The sequence below is a fragment of the Homo sapiens genome, chromosome 20 (assembly GCF_000001405.40).
Source record: "Homo sapiens chromosome 20, GRCh38.p14 Primary Assembly".
Lineage (NCBI taxonomy): Eukaryota > Metazoa > Chordata > Mammalia > Primates > Hominidae > Homo > Homo sapiens.
This window is the reverse complement of record NC_000020.11, coordinates 53329174-53341761: the sequence shown is the minus strand read 5'-3', so window position 1 is coordinate 53341761 and position 12588 is coordinate 53329174. Positions and strand designations below refer to the sequence as shown.

At 45.4% G+C, this 12588-nt stretch overlaps 1 protein-coding gene across 10 annotated transcripts in view, besides 1 other annotated feature; it reads right to left on the bottom strand.

Annotated features, from left to right (window-relative positions):
- TSHZ2 (teashirt zinc finger homeobox 2) overlaps window positions 1-12588 on the bottom strand; it is a 522973-nt gene that overhangs the window by 153569 nt on the left and 356816 nt on the right. The gene's annotated exons all lie outside the window — the stretch shown is intronic.
- Window positions 9918-10212: an enhancer, noted in NCBI's record as "tiled region #12391; K562 Activating DNase matched - State 5:Enh, and HepG2 Activating non-DNase unmatched - State 20:ReprD". NCBI's record gives its function as "activates a minimal TATA promoter and a strong SV40 promoter by Sharpr-MPRA in K562 cells, with weaker activation in HepG2 cells {active_cell/tissue: HepG2 | K562}" and the evidence as "EXISTENCE:reporter gene assay evidence [ECO:0000049][PMID:27701403]".

The window sequence follows — 12588 nt, the reverse complement described above, 5'->3', positions numbered from 1 at the left end:
TCCAGCCTGGGCAACAGAGCAGCTCTGTCCCCCCAGCCCGCACCCCCCTGCCCCACAAAGCAAATATATCTATACATACATAAATAAAAAACTGTTCTAAGAAATGAAGCATATTTAAAATAGATAAGAGATAATTCGGCCGGGTATGGCGGTTTAAGCCTGTAATTCCAGCACTTTGGGAGGCTGAGATGGGAGGATTGCTTGAGGTCAGCAGTTCGAGACTAGCCTGGTCAACATAGTAAGGACCCCATCTCTATTAAAAAAAAAAATAAAGAAAAAAGACAGAAAGAGATAATGCATGAAAAGCCTTAGCAAGGGTGGCCAACCTGTTCCTCCTTCTGTGATTATCCCAGTTTTAGGACTGACAATTTTATGTCCCAGGAAATCCCTCAGTCTCAGGCAAACTGGGATTATTGGTCACTCCAACCTTAGCACAGAGTCTGGCACAACTCAGCATCGCAATCAATGTTGTTGTATTCGTTCCCTGGTGGTGAGCTCAGCAAATGCTCTGGAAGGCTGGCGATCGGAGGTGGATAAGGGAAGCTGTGAGTTCTGATTTTGTATCTACCTCCTCAAGGACAAGCAAACTGAGGCAGGGAATTTACTCACTGCCCCGACAAATACTATTGAGCATCTACTATGTGCCAGGGACTGTCCTCTATGCTGGCATAGAAGGGGGCTAGGAACACAAAGGTCAATAAAGTCTTGGCCTGAAGGATCCTAAATCTAATAGCAGACCTAAAACTTATACAACAGTAATAACAAAAATTAAAATGACAATGGCAAGCACAGCCACCAACAAGCCAGCAGGTAGGAATAATTGCGCTCAATTTTTTTCAGATTGAGGAGTTGATGTCTGGAGAACTCAGGCAGCTTGTCCAAGCGAACACAGATGCAGGGCCTACCCCACCTTTGTCCCTCTCCCATGCTTGGTGATTGTCCCATTACTCACTGCTGTCTCTCATGTCTACAAGACAAAGAAGAGAGAAAGAGAGGGCTAGAGGCACAGCTGTTACATTACAGGAGCTTCAGAAGGACGAACTAGCCCAAGTTAGGTGAAATAAGAGAGGACGTCCTGGAAGAGACAGAATCTAAGTGAAACTGTGAAGGCTACATGGGGATCCTTCATAGGAGTGCGCAACACAGTTTCTCCCATGCAATCCCCACTGAGTTTCTTTGTCTTTGGAAATAACCTGTGTAGAATATTTTGAAAGGATGATGATATAGGGCTCATTGCACATTGTGCAATAATTTTTTGAAAAATCACCTTGTTTTAGCAGCCAGGTGCAGTGGCTCACGCCTGTAATCCCAGCACTTTGGGAGGCCAAGGCAGGCGGATCACGAGGTCAGGAGTTAGAGACCATCCTGACTAACACGGTGAAACCCCGTCTCTACTAAAAAATATACAAAAAATTAGCTGGGCATGGTGGCGGGCGCCTGTAGTCCCAGCTACTCGGAGGCTGAGGCAGGAGAATGACGTGAACTTGGGAGGCGGAGTTTGCAGTGAGCCGAGATTGTGCCACTGCACTCCAGCCTGGGTGACAGAGCGAGACTCCATCTCAAAAAAAAAAAAAAAAGAAAAAAGAAAGAAAAGTCACCTTGTTTTATCCTAGCATTCCTGCATTGGCTGCTCTTCCCCCCACCAGGCATTGGCATTTATTGCTTCTGGAAAGAGATGATCACACCAAAAATCAAAGAAAAGGAATTTGAGTTGAACAGATGCAATTTTTGCAAAAGCAAGATTCTTGAGACAACTCAGACAAAGGAAAAGGCATGAGTAAAGCACAGGTGTTCCCTGCTGGGCCTGAGCAGACACACATTGGGATTTGGGGGGCAGATGAGAGCTGCAGGTGGGCTGGGAAGTGAGATGCTGCCTGGTGTTCCAGAGGAAGGGGAGATGATACAAATCCTAAAAGTTTTGCGTGGATTTAGGAGTAGCAATAACCTGCATCCCTTCCTCCAGCAGTGCCCAGGAGAGCAGCGAGTCCCCCAGCTTTCCTGGGCTCCAGTGCAGGAGGGGAGGATTGGCAGCACAGTGGCTGAGAGGAGCATCTCAGCAGATGGGCCTGAAGGTCATTCCAGGGCCAGCTTCATGGGCATTTGACCTGTGCAACTGCATAGCGTCCTGTGCTTGGCTTCATGCACTTTGCCATCTTGAAATTCCTATTAATATTTGAACAGGGGATCCTGAATGCTCATTTTTTACTGGGCCCTGAAAATCATGTAGCTGGCTGTGGCCACCTTACAGAGCTCCCACGTGCCCCAGTGTGAGAAGGACGGAGCTGTCTCCCAAGTTTGAGGGCAGAATACGCCATGATGAGGCCTTTCAGGGTTCAAAGTGGCTCAGGAACAGCCAGTAATGCCCTGGCCCTTGACCACCAGAAAATACTATGAGAGCTTGAGGCTGGGGACAACTCAGGCCTCCGCAGCCACCTTGGCCAATGAACCCTCTTTCCCTGGCCTGAATGTGCCCACCACTCCCTGCATAGGGCCTGGTATTAGCTGTATCTCTTGGAAGAGGAAGGAGTCCTGAGTTGACTAAGATGAAGTATCTGCCACTAAGATTAGGGACTGGAAATATAAATTAAGTTCAGGTGAAGAAAATAAGAGAATGTTAGATTTCTTCTGCACCCAAGCTTGTGGACTGAGGTATTTAACTGTTACAGGTGTGACATGGCTAGTTTGGTGACAATGCTGAGCTTAATTCTTTGTCATTTGTTGTTATTTGCCAATGATTCAGAGAGAGAAAATTTGGAACCCACTTTCTTAAATGTATGCATTGGCCAACACGTCTGTGCTTTGCTAAGAAGGCTTCATCAGTGCTTCCCATCACTGCAATGCATGCCTGGCTCCTGCCTGAGGTTTACAGAACGCTGACGCAGTGCTGGCCTCATCTGACCCTCATGAAAACCTGTGAGGAAAGGCTCACAGGGACTCTGGAGCAGGACTTCTCGCCCTCAGTACTCCTGACATTTGGAGCTGAGTACTCCTGACATTTGGAGCTGAGTACTCCTGACATTTGGAGCTGAGTACTCCTGACATTTAGAGCTGAGTACTCTTAACATTTGGAGCTGGGTGCTCCTTTCTTGTAGGGGGTGGGCTGTCCCAGGCACTGTAGGACATTCCACAGCTTCCCTGGTGTCTATCTGCCAGATGCCAGTACCACCCCAGCCCTCCAAGTCATGATCAACCATGTCTCTAGGCATTGTCAACTGTCCCCTAGAAGGCAAAGTCACCTTGTCGATTTCAAGTTAGTGTGGGCAGTTACTACTTGTTTGACCTGGGACAAGTTATTTAATCATAAAGTGCCTGAATTACTCCTTTTGGAAGAGAGAATACTAATTGTGTTACTTTTTCTAGTAGGGAGGACCCAGGCAGTCATCATAGGAGACCCTCCTTGGAGAGGCGAATGGGCTTCACCGATGTTTCCATTGTTCTCACCATCCCACGTTAGATAGAGAGCATGATGGTTTGGCAGGGTTAAATCCTCCTCCAACCCAGCCCATCACTCTTTTTATACTAAAACCCTTCAATTTTATGTGGAAAGAATTATGAAGACATTCTCTCTGCTCAGATAAATTATGAGGTGGAATAGTAACAATAACCTCATGGCTGGTGAATGCCTGCGACAGGCCAGCACCTTGCAAAGAGTTTGCAGGACCACGTTTGACTTCATGGACACACTATGGTGTGTCCCTGCTCTGCAGGTGAGGAGATGGAGGGTCAGAGAGGTTTTCTAACTTCCTCATGAACACGTCTCATGCTGCCTGGCCAGGGACATGGACAACATAGCTTTGAGCCTGTGCTTTAGCCAGGGGAAGCACTGAAGAACCATATTCCAATCAGTGATTCATGACTAAGCAACTCACATGACAGTTTCCCAATGTCTGCTCTAGCGTACAATTAGTACCAAGGCACTTTCTAAATATTTTTCTTTAACAGGGTTTCCATTTTAGCTTAAACACTTTAAAAGGCATTTTATAGCCCTACTCTACATCAAAAAGCAGTTTCAGCTGCCACGCATGGAAGGGAAATGAGTTTTTCACGTTGGGAGTCAATGTTATTTAATTATCTTTGGTAATGATTAACAAGAATCGAATCTGAGCCACACGTGGTTGTTCAGCCTCTTGTACTCATTAGATGTTCAGTAACTAGGTCATGGAAGATCCTATGGATTGGCTCACTCAGCATCCACTCACAGCTGACATCCCTGGGTATATCCCTCCTAGAGTGGCTGAGGAACAACATACTCCAGCTCCAGCCTCTGTGGTAACCAGGGGTGGTCATGTGACAGTTCCGTCCAATGAAACATACAGAGAATGGGTCCTTCTCTAATGAAAAAGGCAAAACCTTGTTAGAAGGGACTTTTTAAAAAAATCATGGCACCCTTTGTGATGGTTGGTTTTATGTGTCAACATGGCAAGGCAACAGTCCCACAGTATTCAACCAGTAATTATCTAGGTGTTGCTGTGAACGTGTTTTCTAGATGTGATGAAAGTCCATAAGAAATTGACTTTAAGCAAAGGAGATTATCTTCAACAATGCATGCAGGGAGAATTCAATCCGTTGAATAAGGCCCAAACGGAGCTTTTCCTGAGGAAGACATTCTGCCTGTGGATTGACAAGTTCAGCTCCTATCTGTGAGCTTCCACCTTGCTGGCCAGCCCTGCAGGTGTCAGCCTTGCCCAGCCATGCTGCACAACAGTATAAATCTCATTCTCTCTCTTGCTTTCTGTATATATGTATACACACTTGTATGTATTTACTCAAGTGTGGAATGTATGAGTGTATGTATACACATATATAGGTATATGCACACATCTATTCATATATATAATACATTATATAAATATGCATATGCACTTGTATGTATTTACTCAAGTGTGGAATGTATGAGTGTGTGTATGTATACACACATATACGTATATGCACACATCTATTCATATATATAATACATTATATACATATGCATATATATAGAGAGAAAGCGAGAAGATATCTTCAACTGGTCCTGTGCCTTCTCTGTTAAAGTCCTGGCTGATTACACTCTCCTTCCTCTTGCACAGTGCACGTGAGGCATGAAGTTGTATCTACCATCGTAACACAGACACAAGAACAAGACATGGAAGCTAAGGCTGACGGAGCAGAAAGAGGTGGAAAGAACATGGGTGTGTGTTGGCCTCACTGTGCTTACCCACCAGCTTGGATGCTCCATCCTCAGACATCTTAATATCACTAAAATCAGAATGCATCTTCCAATCAATGAGATCTTACAATGAATTCAGGGCATTCTTCTTTTTGTTTTATTCATGGAAAGGGTCCTAAATAATGACACATCTTATAATCTGCAGCTTCTTAGGTTTAATAAAATATACTAGCTACAGACCAAATATTGACTTGATTTAATCTGCTGTGTATTTTGGAGTGTCCGATTTGCATGTGTGATTTCCCTGGGCGTGAAGCTATGAAATAACCAGTCCTGGAAAGGAGACGTGGTAGAATTTCTCAGCCTTTCTTGGCAGTGTACTTTCTCTTCCTGATGCCCTCACCTTCTCTCCTGCAGCTCAGCCACCCTGTAACAAAGTGGTCACAGGCTCAACCTTTCATTTCTTAATGAAGGTTTCTTTTAAAACAAACTGAATCTTCCATATGCTTGCATTTTACCTGATGAGAAAATATAAGCTTTCCCAAATCCTGTCGCTTTTCACCCCACAGAATCCACTTGCCAAGCTTAATGCAGGTTGAAATGAGTTTTTTAAAAAACTGATGAAAATATTATAGGAATTCAAAACCAGACTCGTTAATATCCTGATTAGACTCCCCATGTTAATTGCGGATTCTTTCAGGCGACAGAGTAGGTCACTGTCTGGGCTTAATGTGATAGCGATGTTTAATAAGAGTCACATTTTGGAACTGCAGTTCACAGCTAAGATTTTGCCGCCTGGCAGATGAGGTTGGGAAGTGATTTTTTTCTAGTGCTTGTGAGAAGTAACAGCAGGTTCCCTGAGTATTCCCTCTGGGAAAGGAGAGCCAGATTGGAAAAAGGAAACCATGAGCTCATTTGTTCCTTCCCTTCCTCAACACCCTTCTCACCCTTCCCCAAAGCCTCAGTACAGACATTTCACTTTTCCCTTGTCACACTTGCAAACGAATGATTGAGATGATTCTTCCGATATGCAAAAGGAAATGACCCAAGGCAATTTTCCTAACAGAAGTTTGTGGGATTCCCACCATTGAGTTTTCTACCTCTCTCATCCAGGAGTCTGGGGCAGAGGGCAAAGACAAATGCCTACAGGGTCCAGAGAGGAACAGAAAGGACTGAGTGGGGCCAGTGGCAAACTGGAGAAGTCTGATCCTGTCTTTAGGGACCCAGTCTATTTAGCCTTTCCCTATTGTCCAAGTCTACCTTTAAAACATACAGAACCAAGCCCTTTCACCACTTCCATGATGACCATCTTTGTCCAAGGCAGTGGTGGATCTCAAATCTCACTGTGCATCAGAACCAACTCAAGGCTTGATTTGAACACAGGTTGCTGGCTCCATCCTCAGAGTTTCTGGTTTAGTAGGTCTCTGGTGAGGCCAAAAAGTTTGCTTTAAGAAAACTGTCCAGGCGATGCTGACGCTGCTTGCTTAAGAACCCCGTTTTGAGAACCACTGGTCCAAGGCATGGTCGTCTCTCACCTGGGTTATTGCAACAGCCTCCTAACTGGCCTCTGGGCAAATACTCGTGCCTACTCATAGTTTATTCTCAACACAGGATTCTTTAAAAATAGTACATCTGGCTGGGCGTGGTGGCTCACACCTGTAATCCCAGCCCTTTGAGAGGCCGAGGCTGGTGGATCATAAGGTCAGGAGTTCGAGACCAGCCTGGCTAATATGGTGAAACCCAGTCTCTACTAAAAATACAAAAATTAGCCAGGCGTGGTGGTGCATGCCTGTAGTCCCAGCCACTCGGGAGGCTGAGGCAAGAGAATCGCTTGAACCCAGGAGGCGGAGGTTGCAGTGCGCCACTGCACTCCAGCCTGGGCGACAGAGCGAGACTCTGCCTCAAAAAAAAATTTTTTTTAAATTAGAAAAAAAAAAAGTAAATCCACGTCACTCCTCTGTTCAAAATCCATTTCACTTAGTAGAAGGCAAGTTCTTTATACTATCTCTACAAGGCCCCAAATCAGTGCTTCTCCCCTTGGCCGCACACTGGAAGTGCAATTGCCGGTCGGACCCTTCACTCCCCACATTTTCTCTTTGACCGCAGTGCCCTGCCTCCCCCATCCTGCTTCAGCCATGCAGACCCCCTTAGGGTTCCCCCATTTAGAACATACCAGGCATGCTCCCACCTCAGGGCCTGTGCACTTGCTGTTCCCCCACTTAGAATGCTCCTTCCCCAATGTCTGTGTGGCTTTCACTTTCACCTCCTCAGACCTTAGCTCAGATGACTCCTTTCACAGTGAGGCCCTCTCCAACCATCCTGGGAAACACTGTATCCCTTGACCTCCCCTAACCCCCTCCCACGAGCTGTTGTTTTTTTCTCTCTTTATTTTTCTCAGGGCTTACTATCTGATACATTCCATGACTTACTTTTTATCTGTGTCTTACCCTTAGAACACAAGCTCCTTAGGGCAACATTGGTGTCTACTTTGCTCTCCATTATATCAACACAATGAATGAATACATGGAAGAATGAGAGAATGTGGGCCCAGGATGAACAGATGTTCTGATGTGTGGGAATATCTGCATGTAGTCAACAGACTTTGGCCACTAATTCCAGAACATTGCAAATATCATGTGCACCAATCTGTGGTCTGAATTATCTAGACTGCCATTTTGAAGTCTCCAGCCTAGAGATTTGTCTCCCAGTGATCTGGCCCTTGAGATGCAGGCTTTTGTCTGTTACCAAGTGGAGATGCAAGAGTCACCTTCCTGCCCATGCTAGAGATGCAGTCGCTGCATCCTAGGAGGAAGGAAACATAAGAGCTATGTAGCTCAAGGGTTTGAAACCACGCTTGGCAGGCCGGGCGCAGTGGCTCACGCCTGTAATCCCAGCACTTTGGGAGGCCAAGGCGGGTGGATCATGAGGTCAGGAGATCGAGACCATCCTGGCTAACATGGTGAAACCCCGTCTCTACTAAAAATACAAAAAAATTAGCCAGGCGTGGTGGTGGGTGCCTATAGTCCCAGCTACTTGGGAGGCTGAGGCAGGATAATGGCGTGAACCCGGGAGGCGGAGCTTGCAGTGAGCTGAGATCGTGCCACTGCACTCCAGCCTGGGTGACAGAGCGAGACTCCATCTAAAAAAAAAAAAAAAGAAACCATGCTTGGCAGAGAGATCTGGAGGAGTGCTCTGGGCCTCCCAACTCCCATTCAACCAGGACATCTCCTTCTCTCCACTTCAAAATCTGCTTAATAGATTGTTCTTCAAAGGCCTCTAATTGTGTTTTCAATCTGCGATCTAGCCTCTTTTATAACTCAATGCTCTCTCTAACCAACTTGTCCCTACTTCTTTACCTCCAAGTTTAGGAAACTCAGTATTTCCTAGGTAGTTTAATCAGATTTTGCAAAGCTCTAAATAAATATTTGTTCAATCAACAAAATAATGAGAATCCACAACATAGGTGTCTCTTTTCTAGATACTGAGGGTAATATAAGAGTGAGCAGGACAAATGACATGCTTGATGTCATGGAGCTTATGGGATAGAAGAGGGAGATACCTTCTGAGTTGAGATCTGAGTTCTGAGAAGGAGGCAGCCCCAGGAAGATCTGGGAGAGAGAATCACACACACCAGTGTAGTTAATGCAGGAGCTGAAAGAAGGAAGGATCTCGGCCTGTCAGAAGGAGTAAAAGAAGAGGTGGTAGTGGCTGGGCTGGCACCAGATGCAGTAGGTTTTGCATGCCAGTGTTCTTGAAGGAACAGTCTGTACAAAACAAATTGAGTCCCCCTTTCTTATAATGCATCTGCCAGGATTTGAAAATAGGCATCAGGTCTCTGCGCCTTCTCATCTTGCAGCTAAAGATCTCTCAGTGCAAACTACACAAGAAAAGGAAAAAGTTGGTACACAAGCTGATTCCTCCTGAATCTAGCCTGAACTAGCTTAGCACACTCGGGCTTCTTAGACATCTCCAGTTTCGCCTCGTCATTCCATTTGGCTTTCAGCTTCACACACCACTCCAAACACATGCGTGCCTGCATGTATGTGCACATACACACACAAACCCTTTAAAATCCATTCTGCATTTAAAATACTTTGGGTTCTCCTCATCCCCCACAGGATCATGTGTGAATTCCTTAAAAAGCCACAGGGCCTCGTGTGATCAGGCCCTGTGTTCTGCCATCGTCTTTTTCATTCTTCTTGCCTTTTCCCCTCTGACTTGAAACATGCTGTGTTGCACCCCAGGACCTTTGAACATGCTGTTGCCTTTGCCTTTGACATTCTTCTTTGTTCTTTCCATAGCTAATGCCCAAGCCTTAGAGGCATCTTTCTGGACCTCCAAGACTAGGCTAGGAGCTGTTTTTGTTAGGTGATTCCAGAGCACTGGGGCCTCTTCATGGCTTTAGCTCAGTCATGATGATTTGTTTTGCCTTCAGGCTTCGGCAGGGTGAGTCCCAGGCTCAGCACAGTGCCTGGCATGTGGTAGCCATGCCAGAATCTTCAGTGGGGTGCGCTCCAGTTCATCTGCCCTTCCCCACCCTGCCTTCTGCACAGGAGGCCTCCTTGCCCTCTGGCTTCAGATGTATTCAGTGAATGGGACCCCAGAGGAGGGCAGTGAAGATGGAGTCTCTGTCCTCCTGGCTCCATCCCTGCACACTTCCCTCAAGCTTGTTCCAACCCCTGACCGAGAGTCACTGTCCCTTCTCTCCAAATGACTTTCTATTTGCAGATTCCAAACATCATCCATTCCCCTTGGCCCATCAAGCCCAGAGGTGTCAAGAGCTCTGCCGCCACCAGGAAGGGGTTCCTGCCCTGTCCCTGTGGTTCTCTCACATGCCCCGACTCCACCCAGGAAAACATTCTGCTTGTCATAACCCTTTTCCTAATCTGAGTTTGCCATCTGTCTCCTTAGGGGACTCTGACTAATGCAGCAGGAATTCAGTGAATATTCATCATCTGGCTGAGGGACTGACTTCCGTTGAGCCATGGTGGTCACTTCTCCCACACACACCAGGGTCTGACACCTACTGTCCATTCTCTACGCCTGGCTCTTTTGTGCTCCTCATTCTTCTGGCTCCTGCCTGGCTTTCCTGTTGGCCCTCTCCCCTCTCCCCTCAGAGGTCGTGCATGGTTGGCGGTGCCACCTGGTATCAGGATTTTGGTTCCCCCTGGCCCGGCTGTGCTCCCTCACATTAAATCTCCTGGCCCCCACCAGGTCCCGGAAGAAGAACCAAGCACCTCGGTTTTTGCCTGCTTTTCTGGCACACCCTCTGGTGTCCAGGAGAGGATTCAGAGCTTTCCGTGGCTTCTCCCTGGTTAGTTACTACCTTCCGTTCAAGCTGCCCTATAAATTTCTCAGACCACAATGCTTTATAATTCCAGCTTCTTAAGTAGCCTTTGTTAAAAACAAAACAGAGCAAAGCTTTATCACTATGCCCTACCAACTGTATTCATACTTCTCCCAAACACCTGTAACCGAGGCTCATTAGCCCAGCCTCACTCAACACAAGCAAACATTAGTACATCCAAATCCCGCATAGACACCTGGTAACTCTGTCCATATATTATAACCAGTTGGTTATAATATAATTCACAGCAGGCTGAATTCAGAGCTGGGGTGTTTCTCCCTCTTACACAGTTTGCCAGACACCCTGGCAGATTTCCTTAGCTGTTGAGGCTTGAGAACTTCATCCCACGCAAAGTGTATGATACTGAAGCCAGGCTCTTGTGGGGAAGGATCCAGAAGGAGCCTACACACTTCAGATGAAACCCAGACAGATGTCAGATAAACATATTTGAATAAACCGAACGTCACCTTTCTCTTTAATCGCTTGCTTTGGAGGGGCTGAGACTTTCTGGACCTTATCAAAGCTCTGTCATCTTTGATTCCCTGGTCACATTTCATGCACACATTTTCTGTCTTTCTTTTTCTTTTTTTAGTGTCAAGATGATGGGGATGCAGAAGAAGGAAAGTAGAGAGGATTATAAGTTTAGGAGAAAATAAAACATACAATCTCCACCTAAATGTCCTGGCTGTTATGACTTAGGAGTGACTACTGGTACAGAGGAAATAGTTCTGGTTTTCTTAGGACTGTTGGATCATATCGGACTCTTAGGAGATTCTCAGGCTGCACTAACCGTATTCACGTTTCTTTCTCTTCAGTCTGTCAATTGAAGGCTTCTCATTATTATCACTCTTAACGTTAAAGGCATTGTATTTCATACCCCTTTTATGTTTAAAAAGCCTACATATCACCTCAAATGATGGCAGGTGAACTGGTGAAATCTGAACTAGCTTTGGCTTTGTTATTGCCCTATAGTTATGCAAGCACTGGGGGAAGCTTCGGAAAGGGTGCACTGGGCTTCTTCTTACATTTCCTTGCACTTCTTATGAATCTATAATTATTTCAAGCCAAAAGGTTAAAAAAAAAGTTGAAAGACTATGTAAAAGATAAATATGTAGAGACAAAAAAGTCTAGATCAGGAGCTGGCAAACTTATTCTGGAAAGGGGCAGATAATAAAGAAATATTTTAGGCTTTGCATACCATATGGTCTCTGTAACTCTGCCATTGTATCGTGAAATTAGCCATAGATAACATGTAAACAAATGGACATGGCTGTGTTCCAATAAAACTTTATTTATAAAACAGGCAGTGGGTTGGATTTGGCCTGAGGGTTTCAGTGTATCAACCCTGATCTAGAATTTTTGTAGTAAACCTTAAAGTGTCCCAAAATGTTAGTGATACAAATTAACATTGGCCTGGCTCTGTCCTCCCTGTCTCTCTCTCTCTCTCTTTCTCTTTCTTTTCCTCCAGTGGATGCCTATTAGTTATATTATTAAAAAATAAAGTGCTTGCTGTTTTTAGCTGATTTCTTTGTTTTTAGAAAAGTTACGGAAAACTACCTAGAATATCTTCCAGATTTTGGCATTCTTCCTCTTTTTACGCCCTCCCCCGCCCCCCACAACCATTATCCATATAATTAGTCTAGACGCAAGGCCCATGTTTATGACCAAATCCCACATGTGGGTGATTTCTGGTTAATGGCTGCAGTGTGTTTACGGTCAGCTGTGCCAGTAAATGCCAGAGTCATCAGACTGATATTGATATGGAGGATCAGAAGAAAAGAGAAAGCAGGGCTTTCCGGAGTTAAATTCAGCCATAAATGGTTTTCGATGCTAGATCACAGAAATACAGTCCTGGGGTCTGTGTATAATCACCGCCCCCATACATCCTGCTTTGTAGGAAGCAAAGAGAAGACAGACTCTTTTAGTTTTAAGTTAATTTTGTGATTAACAGGGTACAATGAAGGTGCTTCCCAAAGCTTTGAGTTGAGGACCAAGAATTGAAACTTATAATGCTGGATTCCTGCCTCCAGCCCTGCTCTAGACAAAACAGTCTCGACAGACAGTTGCCTCTCCGGTTTTTAAAGTTCAACAGGAA